General features: G+C 34.2%; 1 protein-coding gene across 17 annotated transcripts in view, besides 1 other annotated feature; it reads right to left on the bottom strand.

Moving 5' to 3' along the window:
* Nucleotides 1-27,658, bottom strand: part of FRYL (FRY like transcription coactivator) — a 282,923-nt gene that overhangs the window by 120,571 nt on the left and 134,694 nt on the right. For all 17 annotated transcript variants that reach the window (XR_007096393.1, XM_024453991.2, XM_024453993.2 and 14 more), the window contains 4 exons: nt 16,364-16,563; nt 5,199-5,252; nt 2,712-2,851; nt 1,347-1,443 (listed from right to left, as the gene is read on the bottom strand). Coding sequence is in view for 16 of the 17 variants with exons in the window: in XM_047450098.1 (XP_047306054.1) it covers nt 1,347-1,443; nt 2,712-2,851; nt 5,199-5,252; nt 16,364-16,563 (491 nt within the window). In the remaining variant the exon portion in view is untranslated. The remainder of the gene's footprint in view (nt 1-1,346; nt 1,444-2,711; nt 2,852-5,198; nt 5,253-16,363; nt 16,564-27,658) is intronic.
* Nucleotides 17,405-17,699: an enhancer, noted in NCBI's record as "tiled region #3875; HepG2 Activating DNase matched - State 23:Low". NCBI's record gives its function as "activates a minimal TATA promoter and a strong SV40 promoter by Sharpr-MPRA in HepG2 cells {active_cell/tissue: HepG2}" and the evidence as "EXISTENCE:reporter gene assay evidence [ECO:0000049][PMID:27701403]".

A 27,658-nucleotide genomic window follows, 5' to 3' on the forward strand; every position in this document is an offset into this window, starting at 1 on the left:
GCAAAAAAGTACAAATACTGGTTACCAATCCACTTAAATGAAATACATTTAGCACACAAGATACACCAGGGATAAATCACAATGAGCAGTAGTCAGAGTCCATTGCTGGGCTGTGGCCATATCCAGTCCTTAGCTCTTCCTATCCTAGTGACTGCTGCCTTAAGGTCTTAGTATCTCAGTTAAACCAAGAGATCACAGAAGTCAAATTTGGCTTGTTAGCACAACTCCCAGAGGAGATTTCTTTCCTACCTCTACCAAAAAACGTTTATGAAATGCATATATTAAAGTGATTTAACCTTTAATTAACTCTTCTGTTTTACATATTTAAAATTATGTTTATTTGCAGATTTCAGAGTACCAAAGAACTGTCTTTTCATATTCCTTGTAAAAATAAAAGCTAAATAAAACTGATTATATAATTCAAGTACTTTTATACTATGAGAAAAACAGACTGTCAATTAATTTTATATCTTGTATTTGCTGTTTGTCACATATTCCTTTCTATGTAACAAAAACAAAACTCCCTGTCCAAATGTGTCATATCCAAAATATGACTCTGACCTTTAGGCTTCCTAACTTGTTTCAAAAGAATACAATGTTCGTGCCTGGAAATACATGGATCATCCTTGAATGATATAACTTTAAAGACCATGATCTTTAAAAAAAAAAAAAAAAAAAGCTTTCAAATTCAGCACAGGCATTTATACTGATCTGGAGTAATAAAAATATTAAGACTATACCTGACACTATATTATATATTCATATCTTTACTGTGTATCTATCCCATTCAAGTGCAAGCTCATGAGTTTATTGCCTAAAACAGTGCCAGCACACAGTAGGCATTCTAATACTCATTGAATGAATAAACATTCCTAACTTATTATCTGAAGTATTCTCACTTGACTGAAAAACATTTGCACATGACAATTCAGTACCCTTATCAAATCACCCCATGCCTCTACTAAAAGTGCACAATTATTACATGTTGGAATGCAGGCTTGGGGGCTTAGAGGAGAAATAAAGTGGAATAAGGGACTGAAGTAGCTGAATGGCAGGCAAACTACATTTACAGCTAAAGGTCAATATTAACACAATTTCCATTCAGCTCCATTTTGCTAACAAGATTTTATATCTTGGATAAGCATACAAAGGTAAAAAATAGAGGAGATAACAGATAGGTACAGGGCAGGAAAGCCCCAGGCAACTGAAAGAAGTATAATGAAATTACAGGAATTTAATTTATGTGGGCTAAAATTCTAGACACAGCATCTTAAAGTAACTGAAACACGAAGGCACAGTAAGCAAAGAATAAGGAATACAGACTTTGCAGAAATAAAAGAGCTTACCTGCTTTAGAACTTCAACTAAAACTAAACAAAAAATGAAGTCTACTGCTAAGTCCCTCCTTTCAAGAAGATAATCTCTTTCACGTTGCTGTTCATCCCTGAAACAAGAATCCAAAATTAGTACTGCATTAAGATTATGACTTTAAAAATACCTGTTAGTTAGTAGCTCATGTCGCTTACTGTTTTCCTACTATGTAAAATGTGCTACAGCAATTGTTAATATGAAGCTTTTTGTTTTTTATTTTTGTCTTTTTGGTTTGAGACAGGGTCTCGTTCTGTCACCCAGGCTGGAGTGCAATGCTGCAAACATGGCCCACCGCAGCTTCAACCTCCTGGGTTCATGTGATCCTCCCACCCCAAGTAGCTAGACTACAGGCAAGCGCCACCATGCCCAGCTAATTTTATTTTTTCTAGAGAAGGGATCTCCCTATATTGCCCAGACTGGTCTCAAATTCCTGGGTTCAAGTGATCCTCCTGCCTGAGCCTCCTAAAGCAGATTACAAGCATAAGTCACAGTGCCTGGTCTGAAGCTTTTTAATAATCCAACATATGCAAAAACATGTTTTTATGTTCTTTCCCTTTTTATATACGGGGTGTTTATTCAGAGTTCACTATTATATCTGTTAGCATTTAAACTTAACCTAAAAGAATTAGTAAGAAGAAGAAAAGTATTTTAAATTTCATTTAGAAAATGTAGCATTGTTCCATATTTGATTACTAGTATTTTGTTAAGAACTGAAACAAAAGTATTAACTTTTCAACATGAAAATACAGTACAAGGTATCCTTCTCACAAATTTAAGTTGAAAAATCACAAGTGGCATCTACTGAAGTCCAACACTAAACCATGGACAATCACCTGAACACACGTGGCTCTTACATGCATGACAAGATCATCCTGGGAAATTTGAAGGAGAAGAAAACAAGTTCTAGGAATTGAGCTCCAAGAACAGTATCATAGTACTATTATAACACAGGGTTTTGGCAGTCTTCCTGTATTACAATAATTGCCTCCCTTCATAAACCATATGAACAGGAACTTCTTTGAATATTTTCTTAACTTTATGACTATTAAAAGCTCCTCACTGAACTGCTGAAATGGCACTCCTAAATAGGTTTTTGTATTACTAATTTTTGCATGATACCCAGTATGAGTACTGTAGGGCTACATCTAGTTTAACTGGTACCTTCTCTTGATTTACAGTTTATGTGTGAACTATCCTTCTCCCTTACTACCATCTTTGTAACAAAAGTAATCAACGCAGTTTGCTTAGGAATCAAACAATAACAACCTTCAGTTGATAATATCACCCCTTCATTGGAAGTGTGTTAATTCCAGGTGAAACAGTGTAAAATAAAGCACTTACCCCTTAGACTTTGTGCTAGACCGAGGCCTATATTCATAAGATTCATCTTCCGTTCCATTTTGGCGTCTGTACCAGTCAAACAAGGTGCGAAGTAAGGAAGGGAGACAGTGCTCTGCTACTGAGCTCATAGAGCTTATCAACTGAAAACACAAGATATTACCAGAAAATAAATTGTAACACTGAATGTACCACACTCTTAAGTTCTATTAGCTATCATTTAGAAATGAATAAACACAGTAACTCAATGCAATAAATGTGCTTTAAAATTAAAGCAAGGGTCAAGGGTTTAGCCAAGTAATAAAGTTGGCTAAGTTTCACCCACTATTAAACTTTATCCAAATCCACGTGGTTTAGCTCAATGGCTTTCAACCTTTTCCCTGCCTCCATATGCCACTCGCACATGTAAAAACATGCCCATTAGTAACATCCCTGATTAAATACACAGATATCTTTGGGGGAAGCATTACAAATAACATGTACTTTCTGCCCTGGCAACTCCTATGTGTTCATGTGAACAAATGATTCTAAAATATTGCCACTACATGGATGAAAAGACAGAAACAAAGACTACATTATGTAAGAACTGTGGGGAAAGCTCCAATTTACTATGCTATGACAAAGAGGAGAATTATAATTACTCTGCTATCTGCAAATTAGCATGTTAGAAACATGTAAACAGTGTGTAAGGCTTAGACTACATAAAAGGACAACATAAATGATAAGTGTACTGTGATGAACAAATGTTACTAAATTTGGGGCATTCTTGAAATGATCTGAATTCTAGGTAAACATCACAGATTCTTTTCATGAATGAATCCAACTTGTCTGCACAGGCTACCATCAGCAGTCCCTAAGGTCACTCTTTACCTTGAGGATCCCAAGAACAATTTTCTCTCTTCACAAAAATTTCTGTATGTGATTCAACCCATTTCTCATAAAATTAATATTCTGAAATCAGTATATAATTAAATATGCTTCACTTTGTTAACTTATTTTAAAAAGTATGGGTTGCAGGATATTCAAGGTCTCTTTTAGTTCCATGACTAGAGCAGGAGTTAGTTATTGAAGAAGATAAATTGATACCTCTGTAAATTGAACATTTAATTTTCCTGTTATTTCATATTCTGCATAAAACTTCATCCAGAAAAAAGAATGAAACAGTTTATTTGATTCTGTTGGCTGTTCTCATTTTCATTACTTGTACTCTCCTTTAATAATCCTTTTATTGTACATTATCATAATTTGACAGGTAAATAGTTTCTAATACAGAAAACTAAGGTATAAACAAGGTTCTAATTTTATTTAACCATACTTTTAAAAAACCTATATTTCATTAACAATGAACACTATCACTCAGAAGAAATCCCTTGCAATATCTAAAGAAGGAACAATAAAAACCCATCAACTATTGTAAATAAATACAAAACAGTTTATACCACACAGAGCTTTTTATTGTGAGCACCCTTACAAAAAAAAATCAAGCTATGAGGCACAATCATTTATAGTTTATTAATCATTTACAATAAAAATGGAAATTGTCCTTAAAATGTTGTTTAATCAGATTTCAAATCCTGATTATGGATTGATTAGTGACATGGATTCAAGATGTGAATAATCTAAATAACTTTTGTAGTGGCATGAGACTTGAAAAGCACTGTATAAGGTGATCTTATTATAGTCTTATTGTAACAGAGGTCTTACTGCCCTATTTATGGTTTCTTCTTAGACCAGTGGCTATTTACTAAATGTATGTATCAGAATCACCTAGGAAGCTGTTGTACATACAGGGGCCAGAGCACCACCCTCAGTGATTCTGCTTTGGCAGAACTGGAGTGGATCCAGGAACACAGTATTTTGGTAAGTCTCCACTAAGTAATTCTAACCACTCTTCTTTATTTAGTCAATTAGCCTGATATGAACATTAAACTCTATTTCTGAGATATATAATTTTGGGTAAAGTGTCCCAGGAGTACTAGATAGTAAAGAAAGCTAATTTAAATTACTGGTTTTTAAAAATAACCACCATATATTTAAATACTTATAACAAAATTGATCCAACATTTAATCCAAGCAAGAGGAAGAATTAGCATTAGAAGATCAGCACAAGAGTTGTTAGACACCGGCATTCTACATGCAGATTGAGAGCCCCACAGAAAAATAAATAAATGTTAAAAGGTAAAATATTATTATGTAAAAAGTGTGGCAATTGATACAGAAGGAAAGACTGAGGGATGTAACTGAAAATGAAAAATGTGAAAGGTACATTAAAGAGATTAACAATGAAAAGCTGTAAAATGCTAAATGAAGTGAAACTAATCACAGCTCATTATACTACTTATTTAAAAAAACTATCAAATCTAGAATGAATTAAGCATACAAGGATATATAGAAATTAAGGAATTCCTTAATATTGAATACATTTGGGCCAGACTATTAGGATGAACACTATTTCCAGGGGAAAAAAAAATTCTCCCAAAATTGTCATACCTGATCAAACTGAAGATCTTCACCCCTCTGAAGAGATCTGGACAATAGCTTCTCCTATGATTAAAAAAAACAAACATTAAAAATAAAAATAAAGCACAAATATAAAACATTAGAAATCTTCTACATAATAAACAGTTTAGATTTGTGCGTTTGGTTTTGCTCGTTTTCACTTGTTACTAGATTGTTTTAAAGAAAGATAAGCCTCCTCTTTGCCCAAGGTCACATGGTTAATTTAAGTGTGGCTCCAGAGGCAAGGCTCTCACTGTGATACTCTCCATACCAAAGAAAGTGGTTGTGCTCATCATCTCCTTTTGTAACAAGTTTAAGTTTGATAGTTCTTAGATTACAGACTTAAAGTTCAACATAGGTTTTGTTTAGATTCAAGTTCAAAAGTCAACAGTATGTGTTCTTTCTTTCATTCATTCAAGAGTTTACTGAAAAGCAGCCTAGTACAGAGATTATCAGTAGCCAGAGGGCCTTGGTGTGACCTCCGACCTGACTACCACGAAGTGAATGACCATAGGCTGATGCCTTATGGTCTCTGTGCTTCAGTTTTCTTATCTGAAAAAACAAGGCGGTTGTCAAATACTGGTATCAGCAATATGCCTATTCTGTTTAAAAGCTTATAGCTTTTAAATATCTGTTCAATACTTAACCTCACTCGTAAGAGAAATATAAGTTAAAAAAAAACAAAGAAATACTTTGGGTATAATATATTGTATATACACATTCACTTACATTGGCTAGTAATATAAAATACCTTTTATATGTATGTAAAACTATATTCTGTATGTATATGTAAAAGAACCATGTGTTTACCAGTGGGGAGAGAAATTTGATAGTTAGAAAAAGAGGTAAAAGTTGGGGCCTGAGGATGGAAAGTTGTTACTGCATAAACTTCTGTGCCAGTTGAACTTGCTTGGTATCACAGAAGCCAAGAAGAAAGAGTATTTCATTAAAAATAAACAGTATATTGCCAGTACAATACTTTCAGGAGGTAACCTTCCAGTATGACTGCTTCTTATTAATTTAACTGATATCAGGAGAGGGTTCTGATTTAGTGGTATATCTTGCTTCAGCACAGAACAATCTCTCCTATCACATACCAGAATATTTTTTTTAACTTTCCATCTGCTGATTTTTTTACTGAACAAACAAATATTGAGTTCCTTCTATGGGCAAGTAATATCTACAAAACACAGAAGACGTGGTGGGACTCACTGTGGAAAGCTAAGACCCTCTATCCTTCAACCACTGAGTCCAGGGGGCATAATAGATACTAAAGTCTCTCTACCATCTCTCATCTGCATATGTACTCATTCTTGCTTGTATGAAGAAATGCCCAAAAGGGGTCAGTCTAGATCACTGTCTAAAATTAGTATAGAAAGATCACCATTGGTACATAAAGAGGCTTCCCCCAGTAGAAAACAGGAGACTGAAGAAATGGACTATGATGCTATCTTGCAATGGGTTGACAGAAAGTGGGAGTAAAGAAAATCTTGGACAAACAAAAGTTAAGATGGACACTGGATATTGTAATGTTAACTTTACATGTCAACTGGACTGGGCCATGGGGTTCCCAGATATTTGATTAAACATTATTCTGGATGTGTCTGTGAGAGTATCTGTGGATGAGATTAACATGTGAATCAGGAGCCTGAGTAAAGCAGATTGCCTTCCCCTATGTGGGTAGGTTTCATCCAGTCAGCTGAAGGCCTGAACAGAACAAAAGAGGTGACCTTCCCATAAGTAAGAGGGAACTCCTCCTGCCTGACCGACTTGAGCTAGGACATCGGTCTTTCTCTGCCTACAGATTCAAAGTGAAACATCGGTTCTTCTTGGGTTTCGAATGTGCTGGCTTTCAGACTAGAACTTATACCATGGGCTCTCCTGGTTCTCAAGCCTTCAAATTCAGACTGGAACTCCACCATTGTTTCTCTTGGGTCCCCTGCTTTCTGACTGCAGATTTTGGGACTTCTGAGCCTCTGAAATCATATGAGCCAATTCCTTGTTATCTATAATAAATCAATCTCTCTTTCTACATACATACAAACACACACCCTATTGGTTCCATTTCTCTGGAGAACCCTGAACAATACAAACATAATTTCTAATTTAATCTCCTCTTTGACCCAAGAAAATAATATGTCCCAGGGAAAAAATGTATACACATTTGCAAAGAGGTGTATAGAAGGACATTCACTATCAATGGAAAAAATGTGAAGCAACGTCAATGTACAACAATAAAACTTTGGGTCAGTAAGTCATGGTATATTCTTATGCAGTTGGCCTTCCATATCCTTGAGTTATGCATTCATGGATTCAACCAACCTTGGATCAAAAGCAGTAAAAAATAAAATAAAACTGCATCTGTACTGAACATGTACAGACTTGTGTCATTATTCCCTAAACAATATAGTATAGCAACTATTTCTATAGCATTTACATTGCATTATATCTTACAAGCAATCCAGAGATGATTTAAAGTATACAGGAGGATGTGCATAGGTTATATGCAAATACCACGCCATGTTATATAAGGGACTTGACCATTCATGAATTTTGATATCCAAGGGAGGTCTTGGCACAATCCCCCATGGATACCAAAGGACAACTGTATTAGAATATTGTGTAGTCAGTTAAGTAACAGGTAGACATAAATTTATAGATTGAGCAAAATGTTCTCAATATATGAGTTAAATTAGAGAATAACAGATAAAAGGAAAGAAAGTATGTATATATGGTAGTTAATACATATAAATTTAAAACTCTAGGAATATATATATCATACATTAATATGTAAAGCACAATTATAAGTCATTTTTTCATTATACCATTATTAACTTCATTTTCATTTTCTGAGTTTTCTACAAAGAACACAGATGACATGTTCTCATCCTTAAACTCAAGGGTTGCTGCTGGGGTTTCTAGTACTTGGTGGTATCCAGCAAATCCATTTAATTATAGAATACAATATAGCCACGAAAGTTATGGTTACAGAATAAAAGTGTTTTAAAACATTAAAATAACAATATACCTCAACAAAAACCAGGAGGTATGGAGAAGTGAGGTGGTTTAATTTCCTCATTGTCAAATCTGTTTGTCAATAAACCTCTCTCTCTCTATGTGTGTGTGTGTGTATATGTGTATACATGTGTATACGTATGCATATGTTTATATTTAAGTTTAAAGATATCTTAAGAACTATTCGCTCTGTAACAAAAACATTATCTGAATGTAAAAATTAAATCATTTTCATTTTAGTTTTTTGTTCTGTTAAACAAAATTAACCAATATAATTAATCAAATTATATCGGCTATTTGATAAGCTAATATAATTAATCAAATTAATCAAACCATTACAATTAGTTTAACTTAAAATAGCATGTATGATGTGATTCTTTTTGTCAGTCTTTCTACCTACTTGCCTTGCTGGCTGCCCCTAACTTACTATATATATTCATAAGAGATGTTTGTGATTATGTTTATAAGTACATGATAATTGGTTTTTCTGTTGAGAATTTCAGGATGATTTTCTAAACTGTCTATATCATGTATTTTAATTGAAATTTACATTAAATACATATCACAGAAAAAGTCATTCTCTGAAATAAACAAGAAATATATAGAGATTTATGAAGCTTCTCTATCCAGTAGTCCCAATTTTTTTCTCTCATGTGTGATTAATCTTTATGAAAACACGATCACAAATGTATTTACCACTGAAATATAAAAATTCCCAATCTAACTTAAGAGAATAATGTTTGATTACATCTGAAGCCACATTACCTTTACTTTCTTAATAAGGTGAGATTTGGGGAACGTCTTTAGTACTCGGGTCTCTGGGGTTAAGCATATTTGGTCAATTATCTTGTAGGACAAGACATTTATCTCTAAAATCAAACTGCACACCATTCACATGCAACATGAGGATTCTGTACAATAATATACTAATATATGTTCAATTAACTAGCTCTAACACTTCAGTGAAACAGTCAGTATGTCTCATAATAAGTCCTGTAGAACACTGTTTCTAAAAGTGACTATATTGAAAAATCTTAGCTTTTTTAAAAATGGATTTTACTGTCCTAATGTGAACTATGTGTCTAAGACTGGGGGTGGGGAATACAGTAAGAGGTTTCTTTCTAACTTATTTGACTTATTTGATCCCCCCTTTTCACTGTAAATATTAAGTCTAAAGAGCTTTAACATTTTGAGGACTGCTGATTCAAGTAGTTTTTTACTCATGTAGCATATTTATTCAACACAGTTATAGCCAACTAGAAGAATAAGAGAGAGTGATAAACTTTTCAGAAACACACAGTTGCCTTATGTTTAACATTTATTTGTTTCATAACAAATCCATACTTCCTGAAAGATTTCTGAAGATTTGACATCCTCACAGAGCTTTTCCTGAAGCGGAAAATGGGGGTGGGTTGTTTTTTCCATAAGAACTCAGAAGTGATTTTTGAATGCAAAAGGATACGTTATCCAAAAAAATAAATAAATAAAAACAGAAAAACAGAAAACATGAAAAGATATACTACACTAAATATAAATTACTAATCAAGGACTTTGTATTAACTTCTTAGGTTCATTATAGTGTAGTTGAGGATGCCCTAATGCTTGCTCAAGTAGATGTACTGTGTTTCAATATGTAAGTTTTTTTATATAAAAAAACTGTCACCCAGACTGGAGTGCAATGGCATGATCTCAGCTTACTGCAACCTCTGCTTCCTGGGTTTAAGTGATTCTTCTGCCTCACCTCCCCAGCAGCTGGGATTACAGGCGCCTACTACCACGTCCAGCTAGTTTTTGTATTTTTAGTAGAGATGGGGTTTCACCATGTTGGCCAGGCTGGTCTCGAATGCCTGACCTCAGGTGATCCATGCGCCTCAGCCTCCCAAAGTGCTGGGGTTACAGGCGTGAGCCACCATGCCCGGCCTCAATATATTAGTATTTTTTAAAAGACAAACTATTAAAAAACATTTATTGTCTATGTAACTCATCACAAACAACTAAAAAGTAAAATTATTCTTTACACTAACACATAAATGAATGCAAAGATGTGTGTACAGCAATATGTCCTGTAGCATTTCTTTAAAGCAGCCTCAAACTAGGGTAAGGCCAAAACTGCCTATCAATAGAGACTGATTTAAAACTATATATGTAATATTCGACTGTTAGAAAGAATGAGATTAATTTATATTGGCTGATACATAATAATCTCCAATTTAGATTGTTAAAATAAAAATATCTGGGTACAGAAAAAATGTGTATTTTATATATATCTCCCCTTCATTTGCGTGTGTGTGTGTGTGTGTGTGTGTGTGTGTGTTTAAAGGTGATTTCATATAAGTAAAAAAAATAGAACAAAGAATACGAGAGGCTGGGAGGGGTAGGGGAAAGAGAGGCACAGAGAGATTTGTTAAAGAATACAAAATTACGACTAGAGTGGGGGGAATAATTTCTAGTGTTCTATACCACTGCAGGATGACTATAGTAACAATAATACATTATATAGTTTCAAATAGCCATAATAGAAGGAGGATATTGAATGCCCCAACATAAACAAAATGACAAACACTTGAGATGATGGATATGCTAATTAGCCTGGTCTGATCACCATATGTATTACCACATCCCTATGTACTCCCATGAGATCTGCAATTATTATACGTCAATTATTTTTAAGATTAAAATTTTTTAAATTGAAAGAATAAAAAGTTTTTAAAGGTGGCAGGTGCTACATAGATGGATAAGTAATAGACATGAAAAACTGGTAGACTAAAAACTGTTGATAGTGATTAGATGTTTTTATTATATAATCTTTAAAACTATTTCTACTTTTTATAGTCTTATTTTCATAGTAATAAAAGTTATAGTAATATTATAATTATAAAATATTATAATACTTTATAATATTATACAGTATTATAGTGTTATTTTCATAATACTATAAAAAGTTAATAATAATTCCAAGGCTCACAATCCTATATTTTATAATTTAATTCTACATATAGTGCATATGTAGGATACCAACAGCAATATGTAGCTTCAGAGAAAGCAAGAGAATTTTTGGAAAAATTTTGAAACCGTAACAATGACACTGAAACATTTCAGTAATCTGTAATTGGAGATGGCAGGTTGAACACTTGTATAGCCAACCTTCTATCCTAAAACAGAACAGTGAAATAATTTTTATAAGGGCTAAAACAAAAGAACAAAAAGGATGGGAGAGGAGGTGAAAAGCAGATGAAGACCATAACTAATTATCTCACCAAACAACGGTGACTCCTGAGTAAGCAAAGGGGAAAGTCGGCAGTCTGTTCATTCAGTCAGTCATTCACTCATTTGTCCAAATTATTTACTGGGTTCACAGTATGCCAGACATTGTTCTAGGTTCTGGAGATACAGCCATAACAAAACGGAAAACAACTCGCTCTCTTACAGAGTTAACAGTCTAATTAGAGAGTAAAGAAGTGTATATTATGTCAGACAGATTTAGGACAGGAAGTTGGAATGGGGACTGAAATTTCAGATAACATGATCATAGAGAAGATGACACTTGAGGCACAACCAGAGGGAAGTGAGTGAGCTTGACCCACAGAGAGTAAAGGAAAGATAACCCAACTGATGCTTTAGAACTTCCCAGAAGGCTCAGGAATTGGAGAACTTGGGTACTCTGAAAGTATGGCTAAAGGTGAGGATAAAAATAAGAGGGCTGATTGAAAGATTGTTTTAAAAAGCTTGTTTAAGAAAGATTTAGACCCTCCCTTTCACTTTACCTTCAGAGGCATTGCCTTTCTTAGGAAAGGGCAAAATACAATGATGCTGACTGGGGCATACAATGGTTGAAGAGGTACCATACTGAAGATAGGGAGGTTAAGCAAGAATATATAAACCAAATATCAAAAACCCCAGTTATCTTCTGAGTCTAGTTCCCCAGAATGCTTGCAGCTAAAGCCTAAACTCTCCCATTCAGAGTACTGTAGGAACCTTCTTTGGGGACTCTGACAAGTCCCCCAAAAAAGATCTGACACTGATGGTCCATTGACAGTAATACACAGAAGATCACAGTCAAAAAGGCTCCTCTGTGTACACTGGACTTCCAATCAACTGTGTTTCATTCTTAAAATATAACAAGTTAAAATAAACATGTGAGGAGAAGGTAAAACCAGCAGAAAAATGCAGTTTGGAAGAAACTGACCATACAGGGAGAAGAAACCCTTTAAGACACATACATATATTTATACTCTCAAAAAAAATAGTGAAAATTTTAGAGTTTTTAAAATGCTGGGCCTAAATCAAAACATAAGGTCTAAATCAGAAGAAGATAGGTAAATGGATTTTCTTCTATCTTCTTTTCTAGTCCCCAGCAATCTAAAAGATTAACAGATAAACTTGGATATACCTAGGTTATTACCGAGGATTGATCCATCTCCTTTTAGGAAAAAAGGACCTAAGGTATTGGATTGCATAGCCTGCAAGTTGCCATTTCAATCACCAATTGCCCTTCTTGAATCTTCCTTCTAAAATGAAAATGAAATTGTGGCTAAAAATCCAACTCAGCTAATCTTCGAGTCTTTTGGCTTCCTTAATCTTCTTTTATTATGGTTTCTAATGTAAGAATGAAAAAGCCAATTCTCTCATTTTAGTGGTAGATTAAATTCTTTCAGCAAAAGCCATTCACATTTGTGTTTTTGAAACCTACTACCTGACTGACCATGAGCAAGGCCAGCCTCCTTGTATCTGACAAGCCCTGGATGCTATTTTCTTTAAAGTGACTCTGAACCCAGAGAGTCATCTTAGATGATTATTACCTAAAAGGGTACAGAATAAATTTCAAAATAAATGAAATTCCAATAAAAGCATTTGAAGCTATATTGTAAAAACTGTGACAATATTAGATTAAATGTATTTTCATTATCTAATCTTGAAGCTATGGATTCCCAACTTACCCAGACTTGGACATAAATAAAAACAAAGCTGGCACTCTGCTCTAGATAAGAAGAAATTATCTTGGTATATAGGAGTGTAAGGGGTAAAATCTGTAAAATATGATGGTGATTTGGGGGTTTTCCTGGTGTGTCAGGAAGAGTAAGCAGTGATGCCTCTTCTATTTGTGATGGCAGAGTAGAAACATCTACGTTCTGATGAAATCCTTACCACTATTAATCATAATTTTATAATCTCAGATTACATAGCAGATGCCTCTAAAATTAACTATTAAATAAATGAATTAACTAATAAGATAAATGAATAGCATCAGGCTATTCTGAAAGAACTATCGGAAGCTCTGGCTAGAATGAAAACATTATTATTATTATTATTATTAGAAAAACAAAAGGCACACACCACAGCAATACTTCTTAAGGCTACATTCATTAAAATACTAATATTTAACAAAAACCCTCTACTGAGTACCCACCACCACAAGCAGTGCCACAGATACAGAGATGAGAGAGACCTGGTTCCTGGTATCGAGTAACTCACATCGGAGAAGATAAACATGTAAGCAATTAACTATAACGTGATATCATCATAATCTAGAAGTATGTACAAATTATTACAGTAAAATACATATTCATTTAGCTTAGGGGGGGATGACTAAGTTAGAGGGAATATATGGGAAGTTTGGAATGAGAATATATAATATGGCCAGAGGCGGTGGGTCTATAATCCCAGGACTTTGGGAGACCAAGGCAGGTGAATCACTTGAGCCCAGGAGTTTGAGACCAGCTTGGGTGAGATCTCATCTCTACAAAAACACAAAAATTAGCCAGGTGTGGTGGCGCATGCCTGTAGTCTCAGCTACTCAGGAGATTGGGGTGGGAGGATTGCCTGAACCTGGGAGGTGAAGGTTGCAGTGAGCCAAAATTGCGCCACTGAACTCCAGCCTGGGAGACACAGCAAGACCCTGTCTCTCCAAAAAAAAAAAAAAAAAAAAAAAAAAAAAAAAAAAAATATATATATATATATATATATATATATATATATATATGCGCACACAAAATCTCAAATATATAAATATATATATAAAAATTGAGAACTGGTAGGACTGTATCACATGATACTACTATAAAACATTTTATAAAATAAAGTGTTTTTAAAATGTGCTGTGTGACTTGAAAATGGCTGAGGCCAGGTGATGGGTCCTAAGTGTTCATTATACCATAATCTTTAGTTTTATATATGTTTGACATTTTCCATAATAAATTCTTCAATTTGTTTAGAGTTGTTCCCTTACTGTATGCTGTTTAAGTAGACTAGTGTAGTAATTTATCATGTAATTCAGAGACCATTGAAAAAGAAAACTAACATTTTGTAGTTTAAGCATATCTATAATCAAATCTTATAATCATGAACTTATGCTATAGGCTTTTGTAATCCTTACTTCTAAAACAGAACTTTATATTAATAATATATATGCTGTCTATATATATACTATATATACATTATACAATATACACAAAAAATATATATACATTAGTATAAAAATCAATTTGCTATGTGGAAAGCAATCATGGGATGATTTAAACTGAATATAAACATCTGCACAGTTTTGAAATATACATTTGGCTATTATTATGTATCAGATCCCGGAACATATTATTTCATAGATGCTTTCCTCAGAGTAGTTTTCTCTACTTAATCATTGAGAAGAAACTCACCTTCACAGCAATTTCAAGGCTACTTCACTAAGAAAATAAGAGCATTGACAATACTTCCTTCAACTTTCTTCCTGCCCTGTCCTCCCTTCTGTTGTTTTCCTCTCTCATCCTTCTAAGGAACTATAACAGGCTGAGTAAGCACACAGGTTCTAAAGCCAATATATTATTGTGCCTAACTCCTCAGTGCGCCGTCACAAACCCTCTGAATCTGAAATTGGTGGTGAATAGCTATCCCTAATTCAGTTGTGTAAGGAGTGAGTTTCAGCTGTTACAACATCCTTCGCCTTCCTCTCCATTCCCAACATCCCACATCGAACCTACACTGTGTTCTTAGTACATCACATACCCACTTCCTTCCAGCCCAAAGAGTAACCTAAACTGTCACCTATTTAAGTTGGCAGAGAGTCAAAGTTACTTCCTGTAATTATATCAAGAAGGTAAAACTGTTCTGTTTTATTTCTGCTTATTTCCAAATCCAATAACCACTTCTCTCAATGTTCATTGTACTTTGCTGCTCTACGTCATTGGCAATAATAATTCTATATTTTCTTTCCCTTGAAATCATCATTTGCTCTTTTGGCTTCAATTTACACCCTCATATAGATGATACCAAAATCTGTATTTCTAGTTACCATCTCTTGAGTTCTCAAAAAGAATTTCCAACTACCAATCAAGCAACTAATTCCATGTGGTGAGATCATCAGTATCTCAAGCTTAAGGTACGCAAACGAAAAATTATTTTATCCACCTTTTCTACCCAAAGATATTCCTGTGTACTTTACCAAAGTAAATATATTATCATCTTTACTAACACTCCAGAGCATCTTTAACCCTTAACTTTCATTCAAAATGCCCCCTACTTAGTTACTTGTCAAGTTCTATTGATTTTACTTCTGTTATTTCTCTTACTTTCTTCTGCAACCATTTCTACTTCTAACACCATAGTTCAAGACCCCTTTCATTCCAGCCTGAACTATGTACAATAACTAAATAGTCTCCGCTCTCAATGTCTTCTCTCTCTATTGTTCAACCACCATATTATCCATCACAATAGCATTTACAACTCTTTAGAAACTGACCCATGTGTTTGTTTTCAGTCTTTCTCTTCCCTCCTCCTCATCATGGGCTCTAATCAAATAGAGCTTCTCACATTCTCCAAGTATGTCTCACACAATATACATGTAAAATATGTTCTCTTGTTTATTATAAGTTTGGCTGTGACCTTAGTGTTAACTCACATTATATCCTAATTTTCCTTTATTTCCTATGTTTTATTTGTTTCCACAATTCCCACTGTTGAAGTTCCTTTTTGTTCTTTTGCGACCTGCAGCAACTTATCAAAGTGGATTCTAAAGTCAGTGCAGCTTTCTACATCACCACTATCCCTTAATATTTTTTTCAAGTATATTATTTCCTTTGAAAAATCTGCATTATAGTGGTTAATACAAAAGTCAAGAAAATATTTCAGATTTATAGGTCAGCTGTACTCACCAAGGGTTCGGCCATTACAACTTCAATTTTCTTTTCAGCTTGAACAGCAAATTCTGCAAAGAGGCTCTTGATGACATATTCACCAGGTTTGACATCTGGGTCAATCGTAATGTTTGACATGATGATATTTTTTTTTCCCCAAGTGGAATGAAAGTTGGAAGAAGCACAGTATTTATTTACTTTGCTGACTGGCGCTGAAGCTAAAAGTAAAAGAAACAAAAGAACTCTACTTTAATAAATCAACTCAAGAGGTCTACCATAACTACCCTATTTAATTTGTAAGCTGCCTCTAACCCTCAACCAGTTCTCCCAATCTCCTCTACCATAATCCATTTTGTCTATTTCTAACATACTAACATATTTATAATTTAATTACATATCATGTATATTATGTACTGTTTCTCTCTCTATCCTACTAATGTGAATATAAGAACAGGGATTCTCTTTTGGTTTTTGTTGTTGTTGTTGTTCATGGTAAATCCCAAGTACCTAGAACAATGCCTAGCATAGATTAGGTGCACAGTATTTGCTGAATGAATGAATGGATTCTAATCAGATAGTCAAATGCAATAAAGGAAATAAAACAGGTGTGAATAAATGAAACAGGAACGGGATTGGGGAACTGAAAAACAACACTACTTTGGAAAATATGCTCAGTGAAGACCTCACTGAAGAAGCTACACTTAAACTCAGGCCTAAATGATTTTTAAAATGAGGGAGCAAGACAAAGCACCAGGAACAGAAAACACAAGACTGAACGTGCATGCTTAAAACACAGAAAGACCAGTGTGGCTGGAGCTCAAGGGAAGAAGCAGAGGTGGAAGGGGATATGAGATAAGGTCAGAATCAGTAGTCAGGGAGCAAGTCACAGAAGATCTTTAAGAACTTTGTAAGAAAATTAGATTTCATTCCAAATGCAATTAAAATTCAGTGGAAAGCATTAATATGGAGAGGGATAGAATCTGGCTTTCTCTTTATAAAAATCTCTCTGGTACCTCTGGAGAATGGATTGAAAGAGGGAAAATGTAGACCCAGGGAAGCCATTACAGAAATCCAGGTGAGATCATTGCAACTTGGGCTAAGAGGATGGCAACAGCACAGGAAAAAAAGCAAAGTATTTGAGACTTGTCATATATTAGTGGATTAATCAGTGAGGTGACAGGAAGGAATTAACAATGACTCACAGCATTTTTACTTGAATCACTCATAGGATAGTGGTGCCATTTACTCAGATGGAGATGACACGGTGCTGGCAAATAGTAAGCTGCATCAGGCTTGGCCCCAAAAGAAGACACACCACTGCATGCTGTGCAGCTTCACCTGCTCTGTTCTTCTGACTGCCTGGGCAGCCTACTTGGCTTCCTACATACAAGTTTTCCAGTCATGTCCATATCGATCCCATATGTTGCTATGTCGATCCCATATCCTCTAACTTAGCTTATGTTGCCTTTTTTGGCTTAGAATATTCAGGGAGAATCTGCAAGTTTGTGCTTCTTTACCTCAACCTGAACTCCAGAGACTGCCCTTGAACCCCTTCCTTGAAAGAGGAAGCAGAACACAATTACTTAAACACTGATTTCCTGTGTTTGTGTCTATGTGCACATAACTATAGGATAATAAATTTGTTCTAAATACATAAATTCAAAACTTATTAAAAAATTTTTGTCAAATTAAAAAAACTTGCTCTACCACACATAGGTCAAAATACACAAATCTGTAAAAGTAATCTAAAGAGTATCACAAACGTAATATATCTAAAATAAACATCTTTGTGTCATATCAAGTTAAAATACATTATGTACTGTATTCTAGAACGAAAATTATATAACTCAAAACAAAAACTCACAGTCCTTTGAACACAGTGTACATTATTTTAAACAATGACCTGTTTGTTTACTCTGTTTCATGATCCAACATTGTGTATTATCAAAGAGGGAATCTGTTAACAAATGTCATTGTGGAAGAAAGAAGAGCTCTCTAATTTTTAAAAAATTATTTTGGAACATTAAGAGTACCATAATTTAACTTAAGGTAGTGGTTACAAACTATATCTTTTCCTTTAATTAAGATTCATAAGGTCATAACAGTTATAAAGTTTCTCCGGCTTTAACTTTACAGTAAATGTAACTAAACAAGAACCTTATAACTAACCTAGGTACTTCAATTCTAAATTTTAACAAAGTAAAAACTTCTAAAATGACATTCTAGCCTTTAAACATTTTTTCTACAAAGAAAAAAACTTTACTTAAAATGACTTCACAAATAATTTGCCTTTACTGTCTTCTACTTTCTTAAAAATAAAGCATAACCAAATATTCCTAGGTATCATAATTGCATACATTAAAAAATTTGCCTATAAAGCCAAAAGTTTTAGGCAAACCTTTATTTACAAGTTATCTGTCAAGATAAAAATATTTTGTTTGATAACTCAAATTTTTATGAAAAAACCTTTTTGATTAAATAATTTATTTAAATTTTATTTCTTAGTAGGTGTTTAATAACTGTTAGTTGAAATTATTAATATAAAAAAGTAACAATGAACAGATCTACTGATTGAAATTCCAAAATAAATTTCAAATTTTATTTTGTTCAAGACAAATGATTTTTATAATCTAATAAACAGAATGCTAAACAGATCTTTGAAATTACATTATCAAAAAATACCAAATGGCACAGGAAAGTGTTCAAAATACAGCATTAGGTGAGTAAAGATCCTAAGAGTATGTATATAAAACCAAAGTAAAATTAGACAGCAGGAAAAAATATGTGGGCATATAATAAACACACAGTTAATCACTTTTGTTTCTACACACAAAGCTGTGATGAAATCGACTAGAAAAACACCCACACCCCCAAACTGAAACAAGGACAAGGACATGAACAAGCAAGTTACAAACAATAAAATGGAGGAGGCCAATAATATTTAATTTCATTAATATTCTAAACACAAATAAAAATCAGGTAACATTTTTCATCCATCAAAGTTGTCCCCCTCAACTTTATATTTCATCATAATGTTCAGCCTTGGTAAAGATACGTGAATTCTTTTCATTTTCTGCTAATAGGAGAGAAACAGGGATGATCACTCCAAGTAGAAGAAGAAAAGCTAGCTTCCATATAACTAGACTAACTTGGTATTACCTGACTGCTTGCATTAAATACCTTATAATGCTAAGTTGTAATATTTCTCTACATGCTAACCCAAAATTTTGAAAGATTTATGTAAGCCTATGAGAGAAGGAAGACATAACTGTTAATATAATTCTAAAGATTGCAATTCAAGCATTGAATTACAAACTGGAAAAACCCATGTCGTATTAAACATACTTGGAATATAAATCTACTAAACTCTAACTGCTAATAATAAGAATAAACAGGACCTGAATAATTAAAATTTGGGAATCTAAAAGCTAGCATTCCTGCTCTGTCTCTTAGATAAAGCTCAAATAAAAACTAAATATCAGTATTTTTGGATGGCTTACACTCTCCATAGCACTGTATTTAATATATTTAATAAAATAATTGTCTTTTTCATGCTGATGAGACTCCTAAACCATTATAAAATAAATTTAAATTCAGTCAAAAAGAAGAGACAAGTGAGAAGAGAAATAACGTATAACTCTTACAATTAGGTGTGTTTGAGCTCATTACAGCAGCAGATCTCAGCTTTTTTCTGACTCTATTATGTTTTTACACACAACATTCTGAATAGTAACAGCCCTCAAAATACACACTAGTTCTCAACAATTGGGGTATTTCAAAATCCCTACAGGTAGATGTGGTCTAAAATAACCACACTGAAGTCTGTGGAAGCTGCCTCTAGCTTCCTCACCCCCAGAGGTCTTTAAGGATTTAAAAAAAAAATCTTTGGGCTACTACCTCACAGCCACAAACTTACATATGTACACAAATATTATATGCATATATTTATGCATAGATTTATATAACAGAAATTTTTACATAACATACAATTGCTTAGTATTACAATAATTATTATTTATACACCATATTGGCTAATAATAAAAATTTTGATGATTACCTACAAAAGAAAAAGTAGAAGGTAAAGGCTTTGGAACATGAACAAAAGTAAAAAAATATCTGTGACTTTACAATGAGATACCATCTCACGCCAGTTAGAATGGCAATCATTAAAAAGTCAGGAAACAACAGATGCTGGAGAGGATGTGGAGAAACAGGAATGCTTTTACGCTGTTGGTGGGAGTGTAAATTAGTTCAACCATTGTGGAAGACAGTATGGCAATTCCTCAAGGATCTGGAACCAGAAATAACATTTGACTCAGCAATCTCATTACTGGGTATATACCCAAAGGATTATAAATCATTCTACTATAAAGACGCATGCACACATATGTTTATTGTGGCACTGTCCACGATAGCAAAGACTTGGAACCAACCCAAATGCCCATCAATGATAGACTGAGTAAAGAAAATGTGGCACACATACACCATGGAATACTATGCAGCCATAAAAAGGATGTGTTCATGTCCTTTGCGGGGATACGGATGAGGCTGGAAAACATCATTCTCAGCAAACTAACACAAGAACAGAAAACCAAACACCGCATATTCTCACTCATAAGTGGGAGCTGAATAATGAGAACAAAGGGACACAGGGAGGGGAACATCACACACTGGGGCCTGTTGTGGGGTGGGAGGCTAAGGGAGGGATAGCATTAGGAGAAATACCTAATGTAGATGACGGGTTGATGGGTGCAGCAAACCAACATGGCATGTGTATACCTATGTAACAAACCTGCATGTTCTGCACATGTATCCCAGAACTTAAAGTATAATAAAAAAAAAATCTGACTTCAAAAAGCAAACACAAAATTTTTAGTTTAGAAAGCAGGTCTACCCCCCAAGTTAATTCGTGTGTATCAACAAGCATATTCTGAAGTTTATATGGAAAGGCAAATAATCCAGAACAGCCAGCACAATATTGAAGGAGAAGAAAAATGTCAGAGGACTGACAGGACGTGACTTCAAAAAAGTAATCAAGACAGTATGGTACTGATTAAAGAATAGACTAACTGATCAATGGTATAGAATAGAGAGCCCAGAAATAGACCCACACAAATACTATCAACTGATCTTTGACAAGGTAGCAAAGGCAATTCAATGAAGAAAGGAGACCTTGCCACAAATAGTACTAGAATAACTAGAAATCCACATGTTAAAAAAAAAAATCTAGATACAGAACTTATACCTTCTGCAAAAATTAACTGAAAATGGATCATAGATCTAGATGTGAAATGAAAACTATTAAACCCCTAGAAGATAGGAGAAAATCTAAGTGATCTTGGGTTTGGAGGGTGACTTTTTAGATAAACATCAAAACCATGATCCAGGGAAAAAAATTATTAAAATGAAGCCTCGAGCTCTGCAAGACACTATTAAGGACATGAAAAGACAAGCCACAGATTGGGAGAAAAAAATTGCAAAATACATACTTGATATAAGACTGGTATACAAAATACATAAAGAACTCTTAAAACTCAACCACCAGAAAACAAATAACACAAGTAAAAAATGAGCACCAGATTTAATACACCTTACCAGAAGAAGATGTACAGATGGCAAATAAGCATATGAAAAGATGTGCAACCTCATATGTCTTCAGGGAATTGAAAATTAAAACAACAATGATACACTACTACATGCTGATTAGAATGACTAATGTCCAAAACTGACAACAGCAAATGCGGGTGAGGACGTGGAGCAACAAGGACTGTCATTAATTACTGATGGGAATGCAAAATACTACAGACACTTTAAAAGATATTTTGGTTATTTTTTTCAAAACTAAACATATTCTTACCACATGATCAGGAAACATGCTCCCTGGTATTTACCCACAGGAGCTGAAGACGTATGTCCACAAAAAACCTGCACATGGTTGCTTATAGCAGCTTTATTCATAATTGTTAAAACTTGGAAGCAACCAAAATGTCATTCAGTAGGTGAATGGATAAATAAACTGTGATATATTCAGACAATGAAATATTATTCAGTGCTAAAAAGAAATGAGCTATCAAGCTATGTAAAGACATGAAGGAATCTTAAGTGTGTATTTCTAAGTGAAAGAAGCCAATCTAAAAAGGCTATATACTGTATGACTGCAACTATATGACATTCTGGAAAAGACTGTAGAGTCAATAAAATGATCAGTGATTACAAGGGCTTGGGAGAAGGGAGCAATGAATAGGTAGAACACAGAATTTTTAGGGCAGTGAAACTCCTCTGTAGTATAGTATATGGTGGATACATGTCATTATACATCTGTCAAAACCTACAGAATGTGCAACCCAAAGAGTTAACTGGAATGTAAACTTTAGTTAATAATAATGTTTCAATATTGTTTCATCAATGGTAACAAACATACCACACTAAAAGGAAGAAACTGGGAGTGGAGAGAGGGTATGCGAGAACTCTCTACTTTCTACTCAAGTTTTCTGTAAACCCGAAATTATGCTAAAAAATAAAGCTGATTAATTTACAAAAGAAAAGCCAAAGAAAAGAATAACAAGCCTATCCTATCCCTGTCAGCCAGAACCAAAGTGCCTGGGAAGAGTGAAAATAAAAAACAGCTCAAGCTGGAGCTTAAAACAATAACATACTTGGATCACACTCAAAGACAGGAAACAGTTTATAAGTCAATTAAAAGGAAAATGTCAAAAACACTAATCAGCTTATATGGTAGACAGATTAAAAGTAGTGAACAGAAAAAGCAAAATCAGTATTGGGGAATAATAGCAAATAGCAAATTTCAACTTCTGGTGAGGCCAGTTGAATTGGTGACAGTACCAGACCTTTCAACTACCTATCCAGAGGAAAACTCTACATTTGAAAGCAACTAATGTGAAGAGGAAAAAAGGAAATATAAGTAATGTGTATGCTGTGTGTGTTGAGAGGTATAATCAGAAAATATCATTTGATGCACAGATATAGCTTATCAAGAGCAGAGAGTGGGCTTTAGAAGGCAAGGATACCTCAAAATTCCTCCATGTTAGTGAAAAGCATACCAGATGCTGTTTGTTTCCAATGGGAACAAAATATAATTTAATATATAAAATATTATCTTTTTAGTCTAACAAATCTATTCTTATTTCAAGTAATATGCTGGTAAATGGCTCTCTTAAAAACAAAAGAAAACAAAAGGCAGGGGAGAGGGTCCCAATTTGCAGCCTTTGCCAATATCCTTGGTATAAATATTCACACCCCAGAGGCTCTTAAGCCACTAATGGCTTAACGACTGGCTCGTAGGAATTAGATCCAGAACATCACTCCTAATTATAGCGCATTTATGATGAAGAAACTGACTCCAAATGAAAGCTACTGTCATGTGGGAGTGGCAGCACTGGAACACAAACTTGCATCCTGGTTGCTAAGAACTTTCCCATCAATAACTTTATTTCTTCCATAATTACCAAATGCGGATGGATCCTTCTCTCATTTAAAGGTCCAAATTCTTATCATACTGTTTGCTTAAAATAAATATTTCCCAAATCTAATATTTTGGTTATATCTTCTAATTCATTTGCATAAAAAGAGCAAAAAAGTTTCCCCATTTTGATTAACTACTTACCTATATTTTAACTCTTTTTAAGTTCGCTTTATTTGTTCCATTTAAATTTGTCATCCAATTGTAACTTATTTGAGCTACTGATACGAAATAAAGATTTTATCTTTTTTCCTCAATATTTAATCAATTCTCTTGGGTTCATTTACTGAAATTCTGTCACTGATTTTACTCACTATCATAAACTAAATCCATACTCAAATATGCTTTTCTGGGCTTTCTATTATGCTCATTAAAAATCTGTGTTTGTGTTAGTACCAGACTTTTTATTGTTACAGCTGTATAACAGGTTTTATTATTTGTAGAGACAAATATTCCTATGTATTCACCATCTTCAGCTATTGTCACTCATACTTTCAAGCTTATGCATGCCTTCACAAACTTACTTGAAAAAAACTTGACATCTTTATATTATAAAACCTCTTGTCTAGTATCTGACACACCTCCATTAACTCGTCTTCTTTTGTGTACCTAGAGAAAAAAATGTATACTTTCCTTCAGAGGAGAGATCTAATTCTTATTAATTCTATTCCCAAATACTTTATGTTTCTATTTTGTGCAAATGAAATCATTTTCCCTCACTATCCAGTTCAATGTTTTTGCTTCTGGTTCCATTTCGATGGACAGAAAAATTATTACTTCTGCTTGTTCTTTGGACAGCTGTCCCTAAAATGTTTATTTATCCTAAACTATTCTTATTGAAAAGAGTTTCTAAACATAGAAGTCCTATGACATCTTTGGCATATGTCCAATGTTTTTTACTTGAAGTCTACTACAGAAATATCACTTATTATAAAGCTCAAGAAAAATGACCTATCATCCAAATAATCCATTATTCACTCAGCTATAGTTTCCTTGAGGTTATTGTTTTCTTGTGCTTTTTTGGTAATCTTTGGGAGCTCAACTAAGAAACTATTCTAAAAACCTAGAGATAATGAGGTATTTTAAAAATGTGCATGGACCTGGGAGCCAGAAGACAAGGGCTCCAGACTTGACTTGGCTACTCATGATGGTTATAATCTTGGTCAAATTTAACCTCTTTTGCTTCCCTTCTAGCAAATGAACAAGCTGAATTATATTGCTACCATGAGTATGTGTAAGAAGCAACAAGAATGTTGTTTTCATTTTTGTTCTCCACTCTTCCCCTGATATAAATATTCACTGCCAGTGAAAAAGCTATTGTGGCTGACTTTTCTCCTCTAGCTGGAAATGGACCTGCGAATCAACACAAAATAGTCCTGTAAACACCAGAATCCTGCAGGACCTCATCCAGCAAACATACCTGGACCCAGGGACTGGGGGAGGTTGACAACTACATAGAGATGTGTAGCCCTTTTCTCTGACTGCTATGAAGCTGAGCAGAATTGAAATAGATGGGCTGAGTCCTCTGTAGCTTAGAGGGTGAGATGATGAGAAAAGACAAGAAGGAAAGGGGCTCCCTCCTACTATCTTAACAGGCTGTTAACTGCTGCTAACTTAGGCTGCTTTCCCTTCCATCACTCTTGGGATTACTTCTTAAAAGACGGTAGCAGTCTGACCTACACTCAAGTAGCAAACAAAGTAATATAACTGTATACCTAAAGGTATCCAGCAGCCAGAGACAAAGAAAACAAATAAAATATTTAACAAACATCAGCAGCAAATAATATAGGCTGCAAAACAAACCTATTTCGATTAAAAACAGAAACTGAAGTGCTGATTTTTGCCTTGCTATTCAACACCATCCTGGAGATGATAAGTAAATGCAATAATATTAAAAAATTAAATCGTTACAAATATTAAAAAAGATACGAAACTTTATTAACTAGCAACAATCACCTAGAAATAGAAAATGATTTTAAAAGACCTTCTATTCGCAAAAATAAAATTGGTAGAAATAAATTTAATAAGAAAAGCATAGGACTTCATACAGAGGAAAGGACAAGCGCTTCCTAATATAAAAGAAGATATAAAAGAAGATCTGAACATGTGGAAAGACATAGTCATAGATGGAAGGATTTATCATAAGTGTCAATTTTCATAAAATTAATATATTAATTAGCACAGCTCCAACTAAAATTTTTTTTTTTTGACATGGAGTTGCGCTCTTATTGTCCAGGCTGGAGTGCAATAGCACGATCTCGGCTCACTGCAACCTCTGCCTCCCAGGATCAAGCGATTCTTCTGCCTCAGCCTCCCAAGTAGCTGGGATTACAGGCATGCGCCACCATGCTGGCTAATTTTGTATTTTTAGTAGAGATAGGGTTTCCCCGTGTTGGTCAGGCTGATCTCGAACTCCCGACCTCAGGTGATCTGCCTGCCTCAGCCTCCCAAAGTGCTGGGATTACAGGCATGAGCCACCGCGCCTGGCCAGCCCACTAAAATTTTGAGACTGTTTTGTCTAGGTTTATTGGATAGATCTATATTACAGTATACATGGAAGAATAAACACTCAAGAAAAGCCAAAAAAATTACTTTAAAAAATACAAAGAATATTATTTGAAATTAACTATAATCAGAACATAACTATAATCAAGACATATATCAGAACATAATATGATTATATCAGAACATAATATAACAATAATCAACTCAGTAGACATAAGTGTAGATAAATCAGATAATTGTAAAAAAAAAAAAAAAAAAAGTACCCCCTGCATTCCAGGGTAAGAATTCACATGGGCAAAATTAGAAGGAAAAAGATTATCTAGTAAAAATGTTGAAACAGCTGGCCATTCATCTAAAGAAAAAATAAATATACTATACTCAAAAACCAAAGTCCATCAGATTCCAAACCTGACTGGATAAAACAAACAAACAAACAAACAAAAACCAATGTCCAGATGGACATGAAGTTAAAAATTCATTTTTCAAAACCTTAGAAGAAATTGGGAATCTTCTTATATAATCAAGGGGTGAAAAGACCTGTAGCCTAGAGAGCAAACCCAAAATTATATATTTTTTAAAGATAAATGCATTTAACCAAATACAAATTTAAAATATTTAGGAGAAATGATACCATAAACAAGACAAAGTTGGAGAAATATTTATAATGTAGATGATAGAAAATATAAAACATTCAAAGAGCTCTTACAAAATAATAAGAAAAAGACAACACAATAAAGAAAAGGTGCCAAAAGATATACATAAGCAATTCAACATAACAGCAAGTCTAAAAAGCCAACAGGCATATGAAAAAATGTTCAAACAGTGTACCCAGAAAATGTAAATTAAACCAGCAGTGAGCTTTCATTTTATATATATATATATATATATATATATATATCAGACTGGCAAATACTAAAAAGAATGCATATATCACCTACTGCAGGTAAGGTACAGGGAAATGAAACACTTAACACAGCGCTGATAAAAAGGTAATGCCCAGTTAAGTACAGCGCTGTGGAGAAGGTGTTCTTACAAAAGATAAATATTCTGGCCCCTAGAACAGGGCATAAATTTCTTCGATCTTCAGGCTCTCTGTGCAACCTTCTGATAATAATTCAGCTTTGTATGAGCTTATCCCACAAAAATGGCAAAGGATGGGCTGCCAACTCCAGCATTAATATCCACTTGGCATATTTCTCACTGTAAATTAGTAAATTGGCAAACATATAAGAATTTGTCTGTCATATTCTTTATGATGATTCCACTCCCAGAAAAGATTTCATATATACTCTCAGCATTCTGACAATGCTAAGCTTTCTGACTTGACC

The sequence above is a fragment of the Homo sapiens genome, chromosome 4 (genome assembly GCF_000001405.40).
Source record: "Homo sapiens chromosome 4, GRCh38.p14 Primary Assembly".
NCBI classification, from domain to species: domain Eukaryota; kingdom Metazoa; phylum Chordata; class Mammalia; order Primates; family Hominidae; genus Homo; species Homo sapiens.